Source organism: Homo sapiens, chromosome X, assembly GCF_000001405.40.
Source record: "Homo sapiens chromosome X, GRCh38.p14 Primary Assembly".
Taxonomy (NCBI): domain Eukaryota; kingdom Metazoa; phylum Chordata; class Mammalia; order Primates; family Hominidae; genus Homo; species Homo sapiens.
In genome coordinates, this window is record NC_000023.11 from 90,441,705 (window position 1) to 90,469,343 (window position 27,639).

Below are 27,639 nucleotides of genomic sequence, written 5' to 3' on the forward strand. Positions count from 1 at the left end.
AGTTTCTTTTCTTATCCACCTGGTTCTCCCAGGGTGTCACAGCTCTTAAAGTTTTTACTATCCATGAAGTTCAGCCATAATTATAGCAGTGTTCTTTGAGTCTCCATATAAAGAAATACATTTTGCTCAAAACACATTTGGTCCTATGGTCACTGATAAACTTAATTTCATTTTCACTGATTATTGTTATATTATTGATATTGTTCAATGAATTAGTACCTCATCAACACTGATGACCTTCCCACTCTTATAAGTGCTTCTTCAATTCTTCTTTAGAGTTGTAGTGATACTTTGAATTAACAGGTACTACTTTATTTTCAAGAGGTTTTCATATTGCCTCCTTTGTTTCCTCAGTTTTATTTCTATTCAATCATTAGACATTGAAAGAACAAGAATGAGTAATTCAGTATATGCCAGAGAGATAGCTACACCTTATAGATTTTGTAGTTCCTTACATGTACTGTTAACAATGCTTATTTCAAGTTGCCTGAGTTTATTGACAATGCTGGGCTGTTGTGCCACCTCCATGACTCAAGACTCCCTTCTGAGAAACAAAATTGTAGTTGCAGAGCTAGTGTGCCACAGGACAAGATATGTAGAAATGGTACATTTTCAAACAAGAAAAAGTGGTAGCACCTCCATCGTACATTTTTCTGTGTGCTAGCCCCCAACCCCCCGCCACACCGGAAATGAGTAATGATGAGAATAGAATCTGTAAATATCAGGTGTTTGTCACTGGCAACATACGTCAATTTTAAATGGCAGGCAAGAGTCCCAGTTGATTGAAAAAAAAATGTGTGATGTAATTTATTATGCCATTACTGGTAAAAAATCAAGTGTTTTTGCTAGTACTCCAAAGATCTGGCAGCACAACTGGTACTTTTATGGAATGGGAGGCAAAGCACATCAAGCAGACATTTGGGACTCTAAGAAGCAGATGGTGTTCTGTATTCAAAACAAATGACAAATAATGTATTAATTTATGGACACTACAAAAATTAAATATCATTTTAAAAAATGCTAGAGTAGGTCAGGACTCGAAGAAACCTGTGTGTTGCACTGAAGGGCAGCAGAGAGTCGTAAGAAACTGGTGCCTAGAAACACTTTTAGGAGAGAAACACCATATGGTAATAAATGAGTATACCTTGTCATGCTCATCAATTGCAAACAAAGGAGAATCATGTACTATGTATTTCGCTTTCTTTTTAACCACACTCCTTATCATATATGAGAATCTCAAAAGCAGTTTACAGTGTAAACTTCTGGTTTTTTTTTAAATGAATTCTTATGTTCTCTTTAAAAACATAAGCTTCTGGTTTTAGTTTAGTGTTATATTTACATTAGGTAAGAAAGCAGAGAGATAGGAAAACTGTTTATTTAAAAACAAAACAAATCCTCTCTTGTCTATATTTGCACCTTTGTGATACAAAAAAGTGAGTTATTTAAGTAAAATAGAAAAAAATTTTAACTTATGTTTAGCTCAGTCCCTGGTACATAGAAAGCACAAAATAAATGCTTATTTTTCTGTACTGAATGATTGGATATAGGGATGTGAAAATAATTGAATGCCTAACCATTACTATTTTGATTTTTTACAGATTTCCTCCAAAACACTCTGCTAAGGCTCTACCCAAGAATGAATTTACCTAACTAATCTAAAATTGTTTTCAAATTATCACAAATAAAAGATTATTTTGTGATAGAGCAGAACTTATTTTGCTCTCTTTCTGTACAAAAAAATATATATCAAATCGAATTTCTAGAATAGCAAATGGCAAATTTTATGCATAAAAGAATAATATTTTATTACTTAATTCAAACTAAAATGTTTAAGTAAGACAAAATATATAAGAGAAAAATATTACAGTTTTAACCTGCAATTGATTTAAATAGTTTTAATAAGAAAATTTTAAACATGAAACTGAGTTTGTGGGGAGTAATAATTGAATAGAATTCTTTTATTCACTTTTGTCTAGTTTTTTTATACTCCCCCCGCCACTGTATGGTTTCTTTTCATCTATATCATTTCAGTTAAAAAGGTTTAAGGCAAAAATGCATGCAATATGGAATTTTTGCCTGCAGTTTTTACATCAAAGAGACAGTGTGTGTAGGAGGTTCAGATATGGAAAGTCGAATGCTGACTATACATCGAAAGGAGTCAGAAAACATTAAGTAGTTTCTCAGGGTTGAGAAACAGAATAGTTCTCTCATTTTGATTTGTAAGCTTTTTTGAACAAATACAATAGCAAATACTTTGTTTTTAAAATAAAGTTACAATAAAATAAAGTTAAAATAAAGTTACATAAAAATAAAAGTTACAAAGTAGTAACTTTTTTTTTTTTTTTTTTTGAGATGGAATCTCTCTCTGTTGCCCAGGCTGGAGTACAGTGGCACAATCTCAGCATATGAACAATTAGTTCTTTAGTTTTAATGATGCAGGATTTTTGCTCCTTAGCTCAGCTAGGTCCAGGTTCTTGTCTCACGACCAGGAAAAATTAGGCACGCAGACATCAAAAAGTTAGTGGAGTAGAATTTATCAAGGGAAAAGAAAGCTCTCAGCAAAAAGAGGGGAGGCTGGGGGTAGTTCTCCCACTCAAAGACAGGAGAGAACCCTAATATGGTTGAGCCCAGGACCTTTTATGGGCTCAGAATAGGGGGTATGTACTGATCAGTTTGTGAGCATGCAAAAAGGTCAAAGCGAAGACATCACTCAAACGTGGGCACAACAGTGTAGAAAGCCAATTAGGAAAGGGTAAGTATATGTAAAATAGGAGAAGGATGGGGATCAATCAGAGGAAAGCATCCCAAACGGGAAGGTAGGTTCTCAATCCAGTCCAAGGACTCTTTCCAGCTTGAAGGCCAGGTTTCACTGGGGACCTGCTCCTATCTTCCTAGGCAGTTGTCTGCCTTCTGCTTCTATCACTAACGATTTGCAATACTCAACTAACATGAGAATGATCCTGAAGAAAACATTTCATCTGAAAGCAAAGAGAAATTATTGGCAATGAACCTTTGGTAGTTCTGTCCCTTCCTTTCCTGTTTTTAAATATACTTAAGCGTTGAGATTTAGAGACTGACAAATAAAATCAGAGTGATTTATCACTCATTTAAAAGAGAATATGATCATACATATATATCTATATATAAAATACATATTTTACATATATAATATTAAGAAAGTATGAGCGTTGCTGTAAAACACTGTGTAATAAGTTTAGAAATCAATCTAAACTCTGAATTAGCATAAGCCATGTGATATCAGCTGCAAAACAAAAACTGGTATAAGCAGACAAAATATTTTATCATTTACAAGGTAATGTGTGTATCTGAAGCAACATGTACCCTAATGACCAATTTGAATGTTTTTGCCTATATTCTTAGCATTTCAAGAACTATATATATATTTTACATATATTATATAATATATGTTACATATATGTATTATATATATTATATACATATATGTAACATATATGTATTATATACATTATATAATATATGTTACATATATGTATTATATATATTATATACATATATTGCATGTATATATATTACATTATGTAATATATATTATACTATATTACTAATATATTTTACATATATATTATGTAATATATATTATACTATAGTATAATATATACATATATGTAATATATATTATACTATATTGCTAATATATATTACATATATATTTACATTGTATATATTTACATTATATAAAAGATATATAATAAATATGTTTGCATTATATATAATATATGTAATTAATATATTTACATTATATGTAACATATATGTAAAATATATATATAGTTCTATTGGCCAAATGAACTGGCAAGCCAAGCGATATGCATTTAAATTTTTGATTTACTCAAATATATAATAGTAATGTTATTTCTTGGGGTCATATTAAATGAAAAAGAAAATCCATGCTTGCCTTCATTGTCCAACAACATTGGTGTTTCCAGGCACAAATCCCCTCTAAGCCTTTCTTTAGGTACACGGTTTTCCAAATTCTGAATCTCTAGAAAAATTGCTTGAGAAATTGGAAAAATGGAGAAAAGTATCATAAACTTCCTGTTAGAGATAAAGCATAAAAATTAACACAGAAATGTTAACTAGTACTAAGTACTAAGAAATCCAGTAACATCAAGTCAAAAATAAAAGAAGGCAACACTGACTTGGTGAATCCATGTTGAATTCCACATTTCTAGAAATACAGGAACACACGGGAGTGACACATGAGCAATCTAAGTCATTTTTCAGGTAGCTGTTGTCCTGCGATAAATGTGCATCTGTTGCTTTGCTGCTAACAGCAAGTGATTTTTGCAAATAAAATAAATACATGTGCATGATATACTTCATAAAAATCCTGTGAGTGGAGTTCCAAGAAATAACAAGTTTTAGAAGCAAAGTAGCAATTTTGACACATGATTCTGTGTAGTGCTGTTAACCATGCTAGGAAATCTGAATTCTCAGTTATTTTAATATTACTCAATAATATTTACTGGTGTTTTTCAGTATTTAAATAATTTTAATAGGCCAGAGTTATATGTACATATTTTAACAGAAGCAATGCAAAAAGAAGGTATGAGTGCTGCTGTAAAATACTGCGTAATAAGATTAGAAATCAATCTAAAATCTGAATTAACATAAGCCATGTGATGTCAACTGCAAAACAAAAATTGTTATAAGCAGACAAAATATTTTATTATTTACAAGGAAATGTGTGTATCTGAAGCACATGTACCTTAATGACCAATTTGAAGATGTTTTTGCCTACATTCTTAGCATTTCAATCAATGTAAATGAAAAATAAAATTTTGTCTGAAATACTTGCATGAAACAAAGATCAAGACTATCAAACAGAGCAATAGAGTAATATATATGCTTTGTGTATCTTAATAATTTATTTTAAAAATAGATTTAAAATATTGAATAATTTTGTTTTGATATTTCAAATTTTGAATTATTTTTTACTTGTAATTTATTTTGTGTTATAAAAATATTGAAAGAAGGGAACATTATCATGTCAATATCAGAAAGTCATTTTTACATGTATTGAAGTATACAATTTTATCATAATATACTAGCTCATGATAATAAATTATGCATTTACTATTATATTTTTTAATGAAAAATACATTTGGAACTTTAAGCATAATCTTATTTAGAAAAAATGATTCACTGCTATTAGGATCACTTATTATTCAAAATTATGTAAATAAACTCTTATTAAAAATGCATAGTAACCCCTGATTTTGAGAATTTCAAAGAATTCTTGGGAATTCTGATATTCCGTTTCTAAATCTTAAAGATCGATTGGGAATCTGGAAACATTGACTATAATAATTATTTCTCTTCCCAAACAAGCATTAATTCTTAGTGCTTTATTATCTTACATAACAAGTCAAGGATAACTAAAATTTACAATAATTTTCAAATGCAGGCTCCCGCATTTTTATCAAAAAGTATGCTGTGGCCATTATAAATATAATTTGTCCTAATTCAGAGTTATAATAAAGACAGAAAAAATGTATTAACCATTTACTAAGTGCTAAGCACTGTGCTAAACATTTTCCCTATGTTCTTCCAATAATCCACACAATACTACAAAGTTATAGGTGTTACTTATCCTCATTTTATAGAGAAGAAAATTTTTATTCTGAGTGATATGCCCACAACTCAACTAATAAGAAGACATTTGATCCAAAATTCTCTAATCCTTGAATGTACTTTCCAAAAGCCTTACAAAAATAACTATAATGTAGGTGTTGTATTCTTGGAAATTTTAAGCTTGTAGATTATAAAAATATTCCTTATTTTTTATTCACAGCTTGAGGCCTTCTTCTCATCATTGCCTATACTACCACAGATTTTTTTATTACACTTTTATTCCTGCTGTCAGCTTTAGCTTTTCTGTACAATTAGTGATTCTCTAAATTATTACCAGAACTTTCCAAATATAATATACTTTGATGTCTCTAAAAGAGCAAGACAGGAAATGCATTCTTTAAGCTCACAGATGGAATATGAGAAAAATATGACCTCACCTAACAAGAGATAGAAGTTTTTATTGCACATTTTGCACATTCTAAATTCAAAAACTTTCTTAAAAATGATGAAAAGTCAGTTCACAGGAAGCTATCAATTCTAAAATCTTATTTGTAAATATAAATAAGAGGCAATATGACATATGGTGAAACTCAGTAAAGAGAGTTGAGAATCTACAGGTATATTGAACAAAATAAATGAGACTATGAGGAAAAACTCTTAAAGTTCTTGTTTGAATGTTTTGAAATATCTATGAATTTACTGTATCTGGTATACAGCACTGTCTAATTACCAAGACAGGACCCTTGAGCCACTTGGTCTTGTGTCACATTCTGGTAATCTATTATAGCATAAAGTAGGCAGGGTATCAGGTGTCAAAGTTCTTTTGATAACTTACTTCAGAGATGGTTATGAGTCTGTGCATGAAGGAAAAAGAGGAGGCAGATTTACAATGTGCTTAAAGCATATTTCTCAATGAGAAACATTTCAGGAATTACTGCTGGCCTAGAAAAATATGACTATAACTTACTTTCTTAGAAACTGAAGCCATCTGAATAATCTGGAGAGTATCTAGACACAGGACAGTGCATGTAAATTATAGGTCAGTGACTGGAGCATTTAGCTGGAGAAGGTAATGAAAGAGAAAAAGTAGAAAAGAAAGAAAAAATGAATGACATTCATTTGATTTTATTACAAATTAAAATCACCTGTGTAAAAATCAACCAAGTCAAATATAAAACATTGCTGACTCCACAGAATCTCATTTATTCCTGCCTTCCCATATGCACAAAAATAACTACTATACTCACTTGTATAGTAACCACTTTGTTATTTTTCTTTATAATTTTACAATGTAAGCATGTACTGCTTAATAAAATAGTTTAGTTTTAGTTTGGGCTGTCACTTGAAATTTATATAAATAAATTCAATCATGCAAGTATGTTTTGTGACTAGATTATTTTGCATAAATTCATGTTGTTAATATTTAAACATGCTACTGCATTAACTATTATTCTGTTATTTTAATTTTTTTTGTAACTCTCCATTGTAGAAATATACAACTTGTCTATCCCCTCTATTGATGATGGGTATTTGGGTCATTTCTACTTTTGGAATATTAGAAATAATGGTGTTTTCAACATTTTTGTACATGGATCTTGGTACACATACCTTAGAAATTGTATATTATCTATATACTAGAAATCTCACTATTGGGATTTCTAGTATATAGATAACATACAATTTTACTTTCAGTCCATAATATGAGACAGTTTTCCAAAAATTTTACCTGTTTGCAATCCTGCTTTATCCTCAAACAGCAAATTTTGAAGTTTTAGTTATTGTGGTACATGTTTTAATATCTCATTGTGGTTTAAGTTAGCTTTTTCCCTTATTATTTATAGCATAAAGCACATTTTCTTTGATTACTTAGAGTATAAACACTAATCTTAATTGCCAACTAACTGGGCCATGATATTTAGATACTTGGTGAAATGTTTTTTTAGATGTTTCTGTGAAGATATTTTTCAGATGAGATTAACATTTAAAACAGTAGTCTTTGAGTAAATCAGATTACTCTCCATAATGTACGGGAGCCTCATACAATCAGTGGAAGGTGTTAATAAAAAAAAATATTAACCTGCCCCAGACAAAAGGAATTCTGCTAGAAACTGCCTTTGGACTTGAATTGCGACATCAACTCATCAACTATTCCCTGAGTGTACAGCCTGCTGGCCTACTCTGCAGATTTTGAACTTGCCAGCTCCCACAATTATGTGAGCCAATCCTTAAAATCTCTTTGAAAAAAAGAGAAAGAGAATCATATATATGTATGGCTTTATTTCTCTGGAGAGATTCTGAACAACACAGATGGTTTCTTTTGTAAACACCTATTCTAGGTACTTATTTTTTTGACTACTGGCTTGTCTTTCTTCTTGGTAATTGTCCCGCAAACATTCCTAAACCCTCTATTCCATTATTTGTGTTGCAGATATCTTGTTCCACCCTCTGACATCATTTTCACTATCTTAATGATACTTTCTAATGAATTGCTTTTCTTAATTTATGGTAAGACATTATACCAACCATTTTCTTTACGAATAGTTTATATTATGTATTGTTTAAGCAGTCTTACTTACTCCAAGATTATTTAAATATTATATTATCTTCTAGAAACTTTAATTTTTGATTTTTACATTTAGATCTACAATATATCTTAAATTAATTTTAGTGTGTAGTTTGATTAATAAGGCCAGGTTTTTCTTGTTCTTTATAATTATACAATTATATTCAACCACCTTAACACTATTTATTGAAAATACTGCTCTTTTTTCACTTCCATGAAATGTCACCTCTGTCATAAATATCCATATGTGTTATTGGTTCCATCAGTCCATTTGTCAATACTTGCACCAAGACTACACTTTCTTGATTTCTGTGGATTTCGATCACGATATCTAGTAGTAATATTCACCCCACCATGTAATTCTTTTTAAGAGTATCTTAAATATTTTTAGCCCTCTACATTTCCATATAACTTTTAGATGTAGTTGACAGGATTCCATTAAAATCAACCAAAGAATTCTGATAAAGAATACACTGAATGTCTTAATTATTTTATGAATAACATAATTCTTTTCAGTAGTTAGTCTTCTATTCCATAGACATGGTATATTTCCCCGTTTATTTATGTCTTTCTTAATTTTTTCAATGACCATTAAAACTTTACTCTATGGTGGCTGGGCACAGTGACTCATACCTTTAATCCCAGCACTTTGGGAGGCTGAGGAGGATGGATCACGAGGTCAGGAGATCGAGACCATCCTGGCTAACAGGGTGAAAGCCTGTCTCTACTAAAAATACAAAAATTAGCCGGGCGTGGTGGTGGGCGCCTGCAGTCCCAGGTACGTGGGAGGCCGAGGCAGGAGAATGGCTTGAACATGGGAGGCGGAGCTTGCAGTGAGCCGAGATCGCACCACTGCACTCCAGCCTGGGGTGCAAGACTCCGTTTCAAAAACAAAACAAAACAAAACAAAACAACAACAACAAAAAAACTTTACTCTTTGGTGGTCTTCTACAGCTCATTAGTTTATCCCAATTGTTTGAAATTTTGATGCCATTGTAATTATTTATTTTAGAGTTTCATTTTCTTATTGTTTGCTGGGGGTATGTACACATAAATGATTGTTGTATATTGGCCTTACAGCAAAGATGAATATTAAGTAGATTATTGATTCTAAAACATTAACTTTGGGTTTTTTAAATGTATAAAACCATACCATCTTCAGGCCAGGCATGGTGGTTCATACCTGTAATCCCAGCACTTTGGGACGCCAAGGTGGAAGGATCTCTTGAGCCCAGGAGTTCAAGACCAGCCTAGGCAACATAGAAAAATCTCATCTCTACAAAGAGTTAAAAATTAGCTGGGTGTGGTGGCATGAGCCTACAGTTCCAACCACTTGGGAGGTTGAGGTAAGATCATCACTTGAGCCTAGGAGGTTGAGGCTGCAGTGAGCCATGATCACACCACTGTATTCCAGCCTAGGCTACAGAGTAAGACCTTTTTACAAAAACAAACCAAAACAAAAAGATGTCATCTTTAAATAATGCTTTTTCTTTGTTTTTAAGAATTTGGCTAGGTGCGGTGGCTCACGCCTGTAATCCCAGCACATTGGGAGGCCAAGGCGGGTAGATCACCTGAGGTCAGGAGTTCGAGACCAGCCTGGCCAACATGGTGAAACCCCGTCTCTACTAAAGATACAAACATTAGCCAGGCGTGGTGGCAGGCGCCTGTAATCCCAGCTACTGGGGAGGCTGAGGCAGTAGAATCGCTTGAACCCGGGAAGCAGAGGTTGTAGTGAGCTGAGATTGCACCATTGCACTCCAGCCTGGGGAACAAGAGCGAGACTTCATCTCAAAAAAAAAGAAAAAAAAGAATTATATATATTTTTTCTCTATATTAAATGACTGGCCTGGCTATACTTTCTAAGTAAAATGATAAATAAAACTAGTTATATCAGGTGTCTTTGTCTTATTCTTGGCCTTAGTGGAAAAGCTTTTAATATTTCATTAAAAAGCAAATTATTTCACAAAACATTATTTGTACATATTTTAAAGCAAATTAATACTTTCCCTGGATTCCTCTTTTGCTGTGTTTTTATTATGAATGGATGTGAATTTTATTATAACATTTCTCTGCATCTGTGAGATTAAAGTGATGAACTTTTAATATGATAAATTATATTGAGATATATATATATTTTCTTTTTTTGAAATTTTATTAAGAAATATTGGCTGGATGTGGTGGCACATGCCTGTAATTTCAGCAGTTCAGGAGGCCAAGGTGGATGGATTGCTTGAGCCTAGGAGTTTGAGACAAGCCTGAACAACATGACAAAAACCTGTTTCTACAAAAAATACAAAGAAATTTGCCAGGCATGGTGGCTCATGCTACTTTGGAGGCTGAGGTAGGAGGATCACCTGAGCCAGGGGAGGTAGAGGCTGATTGTTTCACTGCACTCCAGCCTGGGTGACAGAGTGAGATCCTGTCTCAGAAAAAAAGATAAGGAATTTTTTTAATTAAAAAAAATAATATTTTTAAACATACAGACTATGAATATTTTTAACGCACCACCTACATTCAACAGTTAATATTTTACGAAATATTTAGTGATGTAACTATTCATCTTGTCACCACTGTAGCCACTCATCAATCTACCTTGTCATTCATTTTAAAATAAGTTAAAGACATCACTACATTTCTCCCCAAGTATTTCAGCATGCTTATGATTAAATTTAGCTCAATAATTTTTTAGTAATTCATTTTATTTTCACTTAAGGACAATGCTATGTGTGATGAAATGCACAAATCCATTGGAATGAAATGATCATTTTATTGTATGGTAATACCAAAATGTATTTGTATTAGTTTTCTATTATTTTGTTAGAAAATCTCACAAACATAGAAGTTTAAAAAACAAAAAAAGATCTATTATATCAAATTTTCTGGAGGTGAGAAGTCCAGGTAGGTATTGGCCAGTTTCTCTCCTCAGGGTTTCAAAAAGCTGAAATCAATGTTCCAGTCAAAGCTTAGTATCATCCTCTTCAGATCAGATTAAGGTGCTCTTCCAAGCTCAGAGTTTTGTATTTGTTTAAATGCACAGTAATTAAAAGTTTTTTTTTTTTTTTAAGCAGCAAAAGCAGTTAAAGTAAATAAAAATATTTTAGCCTAAAATATATTTATTTCACATATTCTGAAGTGGCCCTGCCATGTTGTTTTTCATGGGGGAAATTTGCATCTGTAGATCTGTTGATTCATTAATGCAGTCAATGCTTCCCTTGTCCAGATCTAGGAAAGATTAAATGAGAATCTAACACCTTTATAGGTCTGAAAAGAAATATTTACCACCTATTTTCTCTGAAACCTGCTACCTGTGAGGTTTCATCTACATAACAAGATTGGTTTTGCTAGTCAAGCCTCTTCCTTTCTCCTTCCAATAACCTGTCTTGGCACTAAAACCTGTTTTTGGCCATGCTGTATGCCCATATTCTTTCTGTAACCTCAAGATGGTATATAAGCCTCTGTACCCTATTAGAGGGTTGGGTCTTCATTCTGAAGACTCCCATATAGTAGACTCATTATTACACATAAACGTGTATGTGTTTTCTCTGATTAATCAACCTGCCTCATGTCAGTGATTTTCAGTGAACATTTAGGAGGCCACAGTATATAAACTGCAGAAAAATTTTACTACGACTGAAAAAAATGTATCATTCAATTAGTTATAATCTGTCAATCGAGAAAAATGATGAGACTGAAACCAGCCTCATTGTCTGAGGTGTCACCCGAAGTTGTTGATGTCACGGCCAACGAAATCAAGGACTCGGATACTCCAAAGGTGAGGTTAGAGCAGTAGTTAAATAAGTGAAAGAAGGAAAGCTCTCTAGAGCAGAGAGGGTTCCCAGAAAGATGGGTTGCCGTATTACAGTGAAATGCGAGGGTTTTTATAGAAAAGCTGGAGGGGAGCCATGCTTCATTTGGTTGAGGCGCAAATTTCTGAGTTCCCGCCCCACCCTTTCTAGTGCACATGCGGGCTTCTTAGTTTGAGTTACTCCATGTTGTTTATCGCTTCCTGCTGCACATGTGTAAAAAGGCAGAGAACAGAACCCTCTAAGGTGGACGTGCCTGGTTCAGAGTAGCTCTTATCAGTGCTGCGTCAGGCGCTCCCCCTGCACAAGCCTGCCTGTCTGAGTATTTCCAAGAAGGGAGGACTGTGTTACCTGGGACCCACTGTATCTTTGTATGTCACACAGGAGGCCCCTTTCTGTGTTAGAGCTTGCCTTCGTTATCTGCGTTTGCCGCCTTATCGCTTAGGCTGCTCTTTCATGAAGGAGAAATGACCTCTTGGGCTGCTCTTTGTCAGAAGACACTCTGCTTTTTGTTAGAAGGGAATTCCACCGGGGACCCTTGCCCTAACTATCTAGTTGATTTCTCTCTCTCTCCTCTCACAAGACAACTATCAATCATTTTACAGTTTCTTTGTCAAAGTTAAGGACACGTGCCCAGGAGACAAGTCTATGCCTTTCCCTGAAGACAATTTTGAGGGATCCAAATTTAAAGGGGAAAGGGCGGGATATTAAGAAAGAAACAATTTTCACGTAAGGTGGTGGGGGCGGGGAGTAGAAAAAATAGTAATTCATGCCTTTGTCTGGCTCAGTTAATCTGCATTTTTTTTTTTTATGTAAGATGACATAGATAAATGGGGCAGAGGAAAAATGCACGGAATCTGCATTTTTACATACGATAACATACACAAAATGTTGCAGGGGAATAATCAGATACATATTTGTGTCAGGTGGAGGCGGGGGTGAATTCAACTGTAAAGATAAGCTATTAATTTACATTGCCATGGTGAAATTTCAACAGAAACACCTTAAAGATCTGGGAGCTCACTAAGAATTTCCTTGTGGGCAAAAATATGGGGGAGGCACGTAGCTTTTCATCTTGTAGCCGTCTTATTTAGGAACCAAAAGAGGTAGGCAGGTTTGTGTGACCCAGTTTCCAGCTTAACTTTTCCTTCTGGTTTAATGAGTTTGGGGTCCCAAGATTTATTTTCTTTTCATAAATCCATGCATGAATTTTTAAAAATACAGACATTTCCATTGTACCAGTAAGTTTTCTTGTTCCTTCCTAGTGAAGTTCCAACCTCATCCACATAGAAACTTTTTTTTTCATTTTACTCCTTGACCACTGTAAACATGTTTATTTTAAAGTTGCATTTTGTGACTGAAACCAGCCACATAGCGTTCACAAGAATTGCCTGCTAGGTTCTGTTCAGAAATAAAGTTATAATTAAGCTTTAGTTGGGCTACATTTTGACTCACTTTCTTGTTGCTAGAAGTCTCACCATTTGCATTCCCATTGTTCCTATAGACAGGATCTCTGACATTAGAATCACAAGGCTTTTTTTTTTTAAGGATCACTTAATATGTTTTTTCAGATCCTGGATTCCAGCAACTAGTTTAAAGACCTCCACAGAGGAATGAGATCAGCATGAAAATGCAACTTTATCTCCCTGTACCATCACTTCACTCTGCACTCATTGACCAATCAATAATCTCCACACTTTGGACTACTCCAAAATTCTTAAGAATCTTAACTTCAAATTCCTGGAGAAGATAGGTTTGATGTTTTCTCCCATCTCCTTTTCCAGTGACTTTATGATCAAACCTCTTTATCTGCTGCAGCCTAGTGTCTCAGCATATTGAGTTCAGAACTTACTATAGTTACAGAACATACATAGACCCCGTAGGAATTTGCATAATCGATATACTTCTGGGTTTTGTTCATTTTGCTTCTCTTCTCAAATGCCTATTTTAGATTGTGTTTTAACAATTTTATTTTGAAAATTGTTTGTAGAACTATTTTGAGGTTCAGAATTGTCATATGTTACCAATGAGTGTTTAAATTCTCTTCTGCACTTCGTATTACTGTGGTATTACTAGCATTCTGCACTTGGTATCACGAGCCCTCCAGGAATTTTTTTGTTGTTTGTTTGTTTTTGTTTTTGTTTTGTTTTTGTTTGTTTGAGACAGAGACTTGCTCTGTTGCCTAGGCTGGAGTGCAGTGGCATGATCTCGGCTAACTACAACCTCTGCCTCCCAGGGTCAAGGGATACTCATGCCTCAGCCTCTCAAGTAGCTGAGATTACAAATGTGCACCACTATGCCCAGCGAATATTCGTATTTTTAGTAGAGACGGGGTTTCACCATGTTGACCAGGCTCGAACTCCTGACCTCGAGTGATCTACCCGCCTCGGCCTTCCAAAGTGATGGGATTACAGGTGTGAGCCACTGGGCCAGGCCAAGGAATATTTAATACCAAATCAATGTTCCAGGTGATCAAAAGCTCAGTTTAGTTTCTCATTTTGCTCAAATTTTTGTGAAGATTGACAAACTAGATCATGGTGTTATTGACCATGGGTTCTTGGGTTCTCAATGCAATATAAATTGACATAAGGCCAAAAGAGTTTTCCCAGATAAAGCTTTATTGGAGCTTGTATTAGTCAGGGTTTTCCAGAGGGATGAAGCTAATAAGATATATACATATTATAAATTATATATTATATAAATATTTGTACATTCTTATATTATATATATTTATATATAAATATATATATAAAAATATATTTATATATAAATATATAATAAAAAATGTATACATATATACAGTTATATATATAAATATACATATATAAATATATGTATATAAATATATAAATATATGTATATAAATATATAAATATATGTATAACAATATATATAAATGTATGTATATCTATATATAAATATATGTATATCTATATATAAATATATATGTACATCAATATATATAAATATATATGTACATCAATATATATAAATATATATGTACATCAATATATATAAATATATATGTACATCAATATATATAAATATATGTATATAAATATATATACATATATAAATACACAAAAATATACATATATGTATATTTTTATACATAATATATAAAATATATTTCATATGGTATATTTTATATATAATATATGTTATATTTTATATATTATATATTTTATTTTGTAATATATATTATATATTTTATTTTATACATAATATGTATCATGTATTTTATTTTATATATAATATATAATGTATTTTATTTTATATTTATATACATTTATATATTATATACAAAATATATATATTATTTTGTATACATATAGCGTGTATATATTATATACAAAATATATAATATATATTTTGTATATAATTTATATATAAATATATATTATATTATCTATAAAAACTATATAGAATATTATATAAATATGATATAAAATTATATAAATGTTATATATTTATATAAATATATATAAAAGTGTAGGACTTTGCCTTGTGAGTGTGTGAGCCAAGTCTCCCTAATTATATATTTATGAAAGGAAGTTTATTAGGGAGACTTGGCTCACACACTCACAAGGCAAAGTTCTACAATAGGCTGTCTGCAAGCTAAGGAAGATAGCAGCCAGCAGTGGCTCAGTACAAGTCTGAAATCCTCAAAAGCAGGGAAGTCGACAGTGCAACCTTCGGTCTCTGGCCAAAGGCTTGAGAGCCACTGGCAAACCACTGGTGTAAGTCCAAGAGTCCAAAGGCCAAAGATATCCAAGACGTCTGATATCCAAGGGCAGGAGGAGTGGAAGGGATATCCAGCAATGGAGAAAGAGTCTCAGGAAGCAAGTTTATCCCATCTACCAACTGCTTTGTTTTTGCTGCCCTGGTAACAGATTGGATGGTGGCCACCCAAATTGAGGGTGGGTCTTCCTCCCTCAGTTCACTGACTCAAATGTCAATCTCCTCTGGCAACATTCTCATAGACACACCCATAAATAATACTTTATCAGCCATCTAGCCATCCTTTAACACAATCAAGTTGACACCTAATATTAACCATTACAGAGCTTATGCCCAGGCAAAAGTGAGGCAGCATAAGAGAGAGAGAATTATCTGGCTGACTCCTCAGAGGGATTTGGAAAGAAAGTTTTAAAGGGGCTACAGTGGGAAAGGAGTGATATTTAGGCATATAGATGTGGGGAATTTTTAACACCTGCAGTTTGTTAGCATGCTTCTTCATGTATTGCATGTCTTATTAGCATGTTAAATCTCTAACCTTGGGTGTGATTTTTAATTAAGGTAAGGTTAAGGATTAGTTATTTTACTGGCCTTATGCACAAGCAGGAAATAGAGTTAACTTCTGTTGCAGGAATCGGGAGACTGGATAGACCAATGGGTGGAACAGGAGGATTTTATTAGGTGGCCACTGACTCAGCAGATTAACATCCAAAGGCGAGCCCCAGATAAAGACAGGGCTTGACTTTTATACACACTTCTGAAAGGGGGTTGGCTAGTTTGAATGGTGCAGCGGGAATTTGAAAGCACAAAACCTGTGTGGCAGGCAAGCGGGCTTACAGAAGCAAAACAAAGGCAGTTAATTAAGTTGTGACAGGTCTTGCAACCCAAGCACAGCTTGTGACCTTGCAGCTGCACTGCAGGGAAAACAGGAACTTACAAAACTTGTAAAACACTGGTGTTTTTAGAAATAGTTGTGAGAAAGGAATTTGTTATTTTCTTTTCTTATCCTCGCTCCGGGGAGGGGGTGTTGTTCAGAGTGTCTCTGGAGCTCATTCCTTTGGGCTCTGGCTTTACAGATAGTGTTATCAAGGCTCTGCCAGGGCCCTGCCTATTGCTGGCCTTGGAGGGAGTCAGCCAAGCACAGGAAAACTTGTTTTTTCCCTTTTTAACTTCTGCTTCACTTCCTTGAGTAAAATGTATGGTGAGAGCTGCACATTGTAGTTTCCTCAAGGCCTTGCAATCAGTGAGTATGGCACTTTAAGCAATATTGATGACGCAAATGTTCCTGGATCCGTGAGGTCTGGCTGCTTGTTCTCATAGTCTAATAACGGGATGCAGACAGATTGGGAAAGAAGATTTATTTCTGCAACTGGTTACAGGGAGAAGGTCGGAGTAACTGACCAGACCAACTCACAGTTGCAATTTATTTTAGCTTATATATATAATTGAAGCTTTTTGCTTGCCTGCAGGAGTGTTTCTTAATCAATCTAATCTTAACTAGGGGTCTGCAAGTAGGAAAGTTTATTAGATTTCTTCCTGAATGGACGAGTTTAAGAAAATCCAGGTAGGATTTTAATGAGTTTGTTTTACATTCTACCCCTTGTACTTGCATTAGTTGCTCCAGTTCTTTAATGTTTAACTTATATATTCATCAGAATTACAGTAAAGTATTAGTAAAAACTGGCTGCTGTGTCTGCTAATGGAAATCTGGCGTGGCACACAAGGTCCGGGTGGTCTGGTTGGGATCCCTGCTTCCCAAAGGGCCCCCCTATCAGCTTTCAGTAGAAGTCCTTGGTGGGGCACAGGGGTGGCGAGTGCCAAGTTCCATAGCTAATCTCTCTCAATGGAAAGAATTAACAGAAATGTTTTACTGCCCCTTGCTCTGCTATGTATGTCTGTGTATATGAGTATGCATTGGAAAGCAATATGTTTCAGGAAAGTAGAGTGGAAATTACAAGGTACAGATTCTATTGCTGCATCTACCAGTGTGCTATGTGATCTTGAGCAATCATTTATTCCTTCTGACTTAGTAATAAGCCGTTAGCAAAATAGCCATGATAATTACCTTCAGTTCCTACCTGAATTATTATGACAATTAAATGTACTAACCGATATAAATATATTTGCTAATTTGTCACATTTGTTACATTATTAGTAAAATGTGTAGTGTATACGCATTTTTATATTTTTTAAAGAAATAACTGGTTAAAGAAACAAAAAGTGATTAAATTGATAGCAATTTTTAGTATTTTATATTACTTTAATGTTTATTGACTAAGGCTACTTTTATATCAAAATAATATTTTTTAATATCAAGTATAAACTAGTTTTAAGTGCAGTGTGTCTATCCAAAAAGTCATTGCAATACACAGCATATCAAATTAAATTATTTTAAGCAATCTTCACAGAAAAATCTCTGTTTTCTCTCATCTCTCTGCCACCTTTAACTGCAAATTTGAAATACTCATTAATACAGCAAAGTGTTTAAGAGCAGGGACTCTCAAGTTTAAATCTTAGATCTGCAATTTACTAATCATGCAGCCTTTAGCAATTTTTATACCTTATATTTATTGCTAATTTTAAAAATGAGTATAATAATAGTATCAACCTCACTGGATTATTGTGAATATTAATTTATAAATTTTAAAGAAAGCGTTTATAATTTTGCCTAGAACATATTGATAGCTCCATAAATGTTAACTATTTTACCATCACACTTTACCTTGCCTAAAATTCCTTTCTATGGTCAAGTAAAACCCTTCAAAAATATTAAATTCTATTTATCCTCAATTTCCAACATTTTGCTGTTCATAATGCTTCATTGAAATGCTAAGGAACATTCAATAGACTAGTACAATCTTTTACACTCACAATTCTTTCATCCTTTGTCATGCTCGAGAAAAAACATGTAACTCAACAGGAAAGTGGTCTAAAGATCCTAAGGTAAAGAATAAATAAAAACCAAAGGCTGTGAGTAACTCTAGCATCTACCACTAAAAGAAGATGCTTTTAACATTTGGTCACAAGAAAAACTTGTCTTCTACAGTAATAAATTTGAAGAAGAAAGCATGATGCTATATTTACTACTGATAACCATTTTTGACCATATGAGGAACCAACCTTGGGGAAGATGGAAAGTGAATTGTCTCTGGAGCTGGGCTTTGTGGGTTTGATTACTATGCTGCTGTGTGACTTTGGCAGATTATATAGCTTCTCTGAACTTCAGTAGTTTTTGGTATACAATGTAAGGATAATAATGGTAGTTACATTGCAGTGAAAAAGAACAACATGTGTAAATAAATGTAATTTAGTAAAGTGCCCAACTCGTACTAAATACTAGTTACTATTAACATTATTATTAGAATAAAGCCAATTCTATAGAAAGTAGTGGAGAAACAGAAAGAACCTGAGTTCTAGATGACAATATCAAATCACTGACTCAATTAAATTGAAAACTACACACCGTCTGTACTCCTTGTCATGTGATATAGTAAATTACTTTATTCTTCAAGTTAATTGAAGTGAAGGGTTTTACAAATCACAGCTGACAGGTATGTGTGTGTATACAGATATATATCCCTTTTAAATTTAAATGAGAATGTTTAAAAATATGTTTCACATCTTTTTTATCTTTTTAACATAATAATGTATCTTTAATTTCTTTTTGATCATTACAGCTATATTTACCCCATTCTCTTTAACAGTCACATACCATTCCATTGTATGGTAATACCAAAATGTATATGTATTAGTTTTCTATTGTGTAAAAAAATCTCAGAAATTCAGCAGCTTAAAACAACACACATTTATTGTCTTAAATTTTCTGTAGATCAGAATTTCAGATACGGATTAGTCAATTCTTTCCCACAAGCCCTAAAAAAAAGCTAAAATCAAGGTACCAGTCAAGTCTGCGATCTCACCTGGAACTTGAGATTCTCTTCCAAGCTTGGAGTTTTGTGTTTTTTTGTTAAGATGGCAGTCATTTTGGTATTTTTAAAAAAGTAACAAAAGCAGTATATAAACTATAGAAAAATCTATATACAGTTGGAAACACTTTTTGAAGTAAGAAAAGTAAAACATTATATTCCCACAACCCAGAGATCACAAATAATAATACTTTAGTGGGTATCTGCTTATCTATTGACATATATATTTCCTTTTATACATATCTATGCATTTTTAATCAAAATGTAATCACACTGTTTATATCGCTTTGTAACATGCTACAATATTTCCCCCCTCGTTAACACTCTCTGTCTTCCCAAAGCAATAAAATGTAATCTCCTCTGGTACCCATTCTTGCTTCAAATCCTTAGTCCACTCAAAAATGAACCTCCATATGTGTTTAGCTATTTGGAAGCTCTCCATACCTCATTCTTTTAGGCCTTTATGGGGACTTCATTGGAAAGGCATGATTAAAGCATAAACAACTGTGTAGAAATGTGATTGGACAAAAAGGGTATAATCTAATACTAACAGGCTGAGTGGGAAAAAGTCACAAGATCTGTCTATTCTGATCCCTCTTGTCCTCTCTGTGCATCGTTTTTTCATCTAGGGTTTGAGACAAGACCTCTTCTGAAATGAGAGTCATATGACTTACAATTAGACAAGGTGGGTTGGAGAATTTCTTTATGCCCACCTCCAAGACAGAAAGGCAGAGGAAAATTTCTGCCTTGGGAAGAAAAAGTAGCAGATGAAAAAAGGGCAGGATAAGAACAAAAAGAAAGAGATTCTGTTTTCTGAGGCCTGCTTGTGAGGGCTAAAGCAATACAACAATTATAGCAGGGGCTATGGGAGTTATGAGCTACAAACCATGGATTAAAACAAATATACATATGTCATAATATCCCAGTCGCCTTTTATGTCTCATTTTTACCCCATAACATCATGTTTCAAGGTTTGTCTGAGTTGTAGATGTATCTGCACCTAACTCCTTTTAATGACTGAATGCATTTCATTAAATGTCATATTTTGTTTATTCATTCATCTATGGAAATTTGTGTTTTCTCCATTTTTTGAATATTGTGAATAATGCTGCTATAAACATTAATGTATGAGTTTTGTTGTAGACATATGTTTGCAATTCTCTTAGATATATAACAAAAAGTAAAATTGCTGTGTCATATGGTAACCATATGCAAAACCTTTTGAGAAACTGAAACCCTGTATTTCCCTACACAGTGGCTTTCCCATTTTATCTTGCCATCAACAATTTATGAGTGCCCTCCTATACATCCTTGCCAGTGCTTGTCATTTATCTTTCTATTATTATTTTTGTTATTGTTATTATTATTGCCATCTAGTATGTGTAAAGTAGATTCTGATAATGGTTTTGATTTGCATTTTCCTGATGACTAACAATGTTGAGAATATTTCATGTGTTTATTTGACATTTTTATATCTTCTTGGAAAAGTGTCATTTAAATTATGTGTCTGCTTTTATTGTGTTATTTCTCTTTTTTATTTTTAAAAAGTATTCATATATTCTGGATACAGGTTCCTTGTCAGATCTATGATTTCCAAATATTTTCTCCCATTCTGTGATTAGTTTTTGTTTTTGGGTTTTGGGTTTCTTTTACTTTATTGACAGTATCCTTAGAAACATAAAAGGCTTTATTGGCCGGGCGCAGTGGCTCACGCCTGTAATTCCAGCACTTTGGGAGGCTGAGGCAGGTGGATCACGAGGTCAGGAGATTGAGACCATCCTGGCTAACACAGTGAAACCCCGTCTCTACTAAAAATACAAAAAAAAAAATTAGCCGGGCGTGGTGGCAGGCGCCTATAGTCCCAGCTACTCTGGAGGCTGAGGCAGGAGAATGGCGTGAATCCCGGAGGCAGAGCTTGCAGTGAGCCAGCATCGCGCCACTGCACTCCATCCTGGGTGACAAAGCGAGACTCCGTCTCAAAAAAAAAAAAAAAAAAAGGCTTTATTTTAATGAAGTTCAAGTTATCTATTTATTGTTTTATTATTTGTATGTTTAGTATCGTATCTAAGAAAATTTTGCCAAATGAAAGATCATAAAGGGTTACATACATGTTTCATAGTTTTATTTCTTACATTTCTTGCTTTGACCTATTTTGAGGTAAAATTTTATATGCTGAAAGAGTCCAACATCAATTGTTCAAAATAGTAATCGAATTGTGTTTACACACTTTTTAAAAATCAATTGACTATAGCAATCTAGATTTATTTCTGAAATCTCAATTTTATTCAATTTATATGTATGCATGTTCTTGTCCCAGCACCTCACTGCCTTTACTTCTGTATCTTTGAAGTAAGTTTTGATATTGAAAACGTGAGTACTTCAAATTTGTTGTTCTGATGTAAAATGGTTTGGACTAGTTGAGTTCCTTAAATTTCTATATGAATTTTAGGGCTATCTTGTCAATTTGTGCAAAAATGCTATTAAAATTTTAATAGGCTTCAAATAGAATCTATAATTACCTTAGACAGTGTTTGCCATTTTAATAATATTAAATCTTCTAATCTATTAACACAATAATGTTTTTCTTTTTATTTAGCCTTTAAATTCTTTTCATGATATTTTGCAGTTTTTAATATAAGAGTTTTAAAGTTGTTTAATTAATTTTTTCTTAAGTATTTTATCTTTGTGATGTTATTGTTAATAAAATTGTTTTTGTAATTGTGTTTTCCAATTAATTGCTACAGTACAGAAATATGATTGATTTTTGAAGACTCTCAAAACTATTTATTAGCTCTAATAGTAGATTCTTTATAATTTTTCATTTATGAGATGTCATCTGAATAGAGACTGAGTTACTTCTGTCTTTCCAATCTAGATGCATATTATTTATTTCTTTTTTTCTTTGCCTAAATGATTCAACTAGAGCCTTAAATTAAAAAAAAAAAAAGAGTTGATATCCTTGTCTTTTTCTTCATCTTAAGGGTGAAAGCTTTTAGTCTTTTACCAGTAAGTATGATGTTGTTAACTATGGATTTTTCATAGATGCCCTTTATTGGATTGAGGAAGATCCTGTCTATTTCTACCTTCTTGTTTGCTTTTATAATGATGGGTGTTTAATTCTGTCAGAAATTTTCATATATATAGATATAATAATGTAATTTTTCCTTTTTTCTATTAATATGTTGTATTATTTTGACTAATTTTCTTATGATGAATCATAAGTGCAATCCTGGAATAAATCACCCTTACTTGTGTTTTATTGGTAGTGAAACCGTACGGGTCGGCAGCAACCTCAATTCTTGCCTCCTCAGAAGAAAGAATTCAACTGAGAGGCATAAGGCAGAAGGAGAGACTGAGGCAAGTTTTAGAGCAGGAGTGAAAGTTTAATAAAAAGTTCTAGAGAAGGAACAAAAGGAAGCAAAGTGCACTTGGAAGAGGGCCAAGTGGGTGACTTGAAGGACATATGCCCTGTTTGGCCTTGGACTTAGGGTTTTATATGCTGGCCTATTTTAGGAATCTTGTGTCCCTTTTCCCTGGATTCTTCCCTTGGGGCGGGCTGCCCACATGCACAGCGTGTTTATTGGAGTTGTACACATGTTCACTTGAGGCATTCTTCCCTTTGCTAGTGGAATGCCCCCAGAAGGTTATATACCAGTTAAACTCCACCATTTTGCCTCTTAATGTGCATGCTTGACCTCTCTCACCTAACTCCTGAGATCTTACTGGGAAGCTGTTGATTATAGTTACAGGTGTTTTTACCTATTGGGAAAATGCCTTTCCCTTCTGCTGGCTGCAACCAATTATTATTTTAGAGAGGCAGTTAACAACTGCCTGACCATCACCTAATGGTTACCTGACTTTGCTAGTGGGGTGTCTGGGGAGGCTCTCTCCTGTTCTGCTCATGCCTGACTAGCTATCTACTGTAATATGTGGTGTTCAGTCATTTTTATAGGCTGCTCAAATTGTTTTGCTAGCATATTGTTGAGGATTTTGTGTCTTTATTCATAAAGTATATTTTCTTATGACTTCCTGGTTTTGGTGTCAAGGAATGTAATACTAGCCACGTAGAATAATTCATCTCAAAATATTTTCTAGTTCTGTTGTATTTTCATTGACTCATTGGTTATTTGGTAGTGTGCTGTTTATTTTTCACAAATTGGTGAATTTACATTTTTCTTTTTTTAAAAAAAATCTACCTTTATTCCATTTTCAATGAAGAATACACTTCATATTATTTAAATCTGTATGCCTCTTGGAACATGTCTTCAACACTCAAGCAATGACAATTCTGCTTCAGTCTTTACTTCCTGTTTATGCAGAGCCTCAGGATCTATCAGAGTTGACAGCTTAAAGCCTTCTCAGGTCACTTCTGAGCATGTGTACTGACCTGGGTATTTATATAGCTTTCTATGTATGTGCCCTTCTAGCTTCCCAGAAATATGTCAGAACTTCCCAAAATACTTACAGACACCTTATTCTGCAACTTTTAATTTTAAGCTTTTGGTTAGTGTATTTGATTCAATTTTTATCTAGTACCTCAGGCGTCCATGAAATTAAACAATTGCCTGCAATAATTGTTAACAAATGCTCCCAGGAAGGAGACTGCTCAAGTTGGGCAAGCTCTAAGTTAGGTCAAATGCACACAATATTCTTAGTGAGGTCTTCCATGGAACTAAGACAGAGACCAACTAATGACCATCCTCTGGGAATGGGGTTTTGCAGAAGCTTCAGTGTCATTTTTATTTTTTGGTTTCTGCCTGGCTACTGGTCTTCATTGGAAATATGGGCTGTTAGTTTTCAGTTAAACTGCAGAGCTAGAGAGCAGGAGATTGGACCAAGGCAAGTTAAAACACCACAAAGATCAATATTATTAAATTTTTTTTGAATAAAACATCTGAGGATTTTTTTTTGTAATTTCTATCATTCTGAAAAACTTGGTTCTGACAATAGTTGCCAGTTTTCTATTTGTTTTTAAGAAGAAAAGACATTTTGGAGGTTCTTACCATTTCTACTGAGTTATTTTCATTGATTGTTGGAAAAATTTAATTTTCTGTACTCATATCACTAATATTTCCACTTTCTTTTTTCTTTCTTTTTCTTTTTTTTTTTTTTTTAGACAGTCTTGGTCTGTCACCCAGGCTAGAGTACAGTGGTATGATCTCAGGGGACTGCAACCTCCACCTCCCAGACTCAAGTGATCCTCCCACCTCATCCTCCCAAAGCGTTGAAATTACAGGAAAGATCCGTGGTGCCTTGCCTTCCATTGTTTTACTGGATACTAACCAGAAACAATTCTAGGGACCTAGCCACTTTTTGCCACATCATCCTCTCCACATCCTGGGCATTTGCACATTTAAGATAAACAAGAGTATCCCTCTTGTGCTTTGACACTCTTCTTTTTCAAAAAGACACAGTCCTTTTTAAGGGCTTGATTGATTAGGTGAGGCCCACCAGGATAATCTTTATTTTGATTAATTCCTACTCAACTAATTAGGAACCTAATAATAGGGTTGATATTTAATTGTATTCACAGATTTCATATGTATTCAAAAGGAAGGAATTATATAAAGGATCATGAAGTGAGAATGTAGTGGAAATGCACATTAGAATCCTGCTTACCCCAGTATTTAATAATAGTGATTAAAGTGTTTATATTATAATATATAATAAATAATAATTTATAGAAATTAATATATTATTTATTTACTTAATAAACATTCCTAGATGTGAAATGGCTGCATCAACAAAGATGTATATTCTAATTTGGGGAGATATTGCCAAAATGCTCTGAAAAGTGGTTTTTCTTGGTTAATTTCATGTTGTTAATACAGAATACCACATGCTTGATTATTTACAAATAAATTTATTTCACACAGTTCTGGAAGCTAAGTCTAATATCAAAGTGATTGCATCTGGTGAGGGCCTTCTTCCAAAGTCATCCCACAGCAGAAGTTGAGAGGGTGACAGAGGAAGAGAGACAGAAAGATTGAACTCACATCCTCAAGCCCTTTTATCATCAGCATTAATTTATTTATGAGAGTGCAGCCTTCATGGCCTAATTATCTCTCAAAGGTCTCACCTCTTAATATATTGTTGCATTGAAGATTAAATTAAAAAATGTTTTAATTAAAAAATTAAACCATAATTAAACCATAATTAAATAAAATTAAAGCATATAATGCTTGATCCAATTAATAATATTATCACAAATAATAATTGTAGCTCACCTTTATTGAGTGCTTATTTTGTGCCAGGCAGGTTCCTAATAGCTTTACATATTTTCTCATGCTTAATGTTTCAAATCTTAAAGTTTTAGTATGAGAGTAAGTGAGAATCTAATTTTAACTTTTGCATGTGATATGGTTAGGCTTTGTGTCCCCACCCAAATCTCATTTTGAATTATAATCCTGCCAAGACCAGCTCAGCCGTTGAGATCCTAACCCAGCGGTGCTAGAGGAATTAAAGACACACACAGAGAAATATAGAGTGTGGAGTGGGAATCAGGGGGCTGACAGCCTTCAGAGCTGAGAGCCACGAGCAGTTTCACCCACATATTTATTGACAGCAAGTGAGTGATAAGCATTGTTTCTATAGATTATAGATTAATTAAAATGGGAAACAAGGGGATGGGCTCTGGCTAGTTATCTGCAGCAGGAACATGTCCTTAAGGCACAGATCACTCATGCTATTGTTGGTGGTTCAGGAACAACCTTAGCAGTTTTCCACCCTGGGTGGGCCAGGTGTTCCTTGCCCTCATTCTGGTAAACCAACAACCTTCAGCGTGAACATCATAGCCATCATGAGCATGTCACAGTGCTGCAGAGATTTTGTTTATGGCCAGTTTTGGGGCCTGTCTATGGCCAGATTTGGGGGCCTGTTCCCAACATAATCCCCATAATCCCCATGTATCAAGGGAGAGACCAGGCAGAGGTAAATGAATCATGGGGGTGATTTCCCCCATGCTGTTCTCATGATAGTGAGTGAGTTCTCACAAGATTTGAGCTAATGGTTTTCTAAGTGTTTGGTAGTTTCTCCTGCATTCATTCTCCCTCTGGCCACATTTTGAAGAAAGTGTCTTGCTTCCCCTTCGCCTTCTGCCATGATTGTTAAGTTCCCTGAGGCTTCCTCAGCCATGTGGAACTGTGAGTCAATTAAACCTCTTTCCTTTATAAATTGCCCTGTCTCTGGCAGTTCTTTATAGCAGTGCGAGAACAGACTAACACAATATGTAATTCGTTTCTTTCTATTACTTTTCCTGTCAGTGACGTGTTCTTTCTTGAGAATAAACAATGAGAGGAAAGTTGACCTCATTTTTAATGAAAAGAAAAATTTTCTGCTCATTTTCTAGATAAAAGAACAAATTGTTATTGAATAAACAGAGAAAATATGATAAATCCTCCAAAATAGCATTGAAATTCATTTCTACCCACAGAAAGAAAAGCTCAAGAGCAATGCAATTTTATCATGTCATACAATATCAGGTGTGCTGCATGTCTACACAGAAAGTAGGACATAGCAATATTTGAAAGTGAATTTTTTTTTTAATTGAGATATAGTTTTGTTCTCGTTGCCCAGGCTGGAGTGCAATGGTGCAATCTTGGGTCACCACAACCTCTGCCTCCCAGGTTCAAGTGATTCTCCTGCCTCAGCCTCCCAAGTAGCTGAGATTACAGGCATGCACCACCACGCCCAGCTAATTTTGTATTTTTAGTAGAGACGGGGTTTCTCCATGTTGGTCAGGCTGGTCTTGAACTCCTGACCTCAGGTGATCCACCAGCCTTGGCCTCCCAAAATGTTGGGATTACAGGCATGAGCCACCACTCCTGGCCAAAAATTTTATTTTATTTAGAAATTAAGAAATGCCTTGAATAAATTTTTGTAGAGTATATTAAATATAGTTTTCTGCTCTAGATATATTTATCAAAGCTGTGCCAAGTGTTCCCAGATTGTGCTTATTTCCTTAAAATATTGACTTTCTACCATGGCGTAGAAAA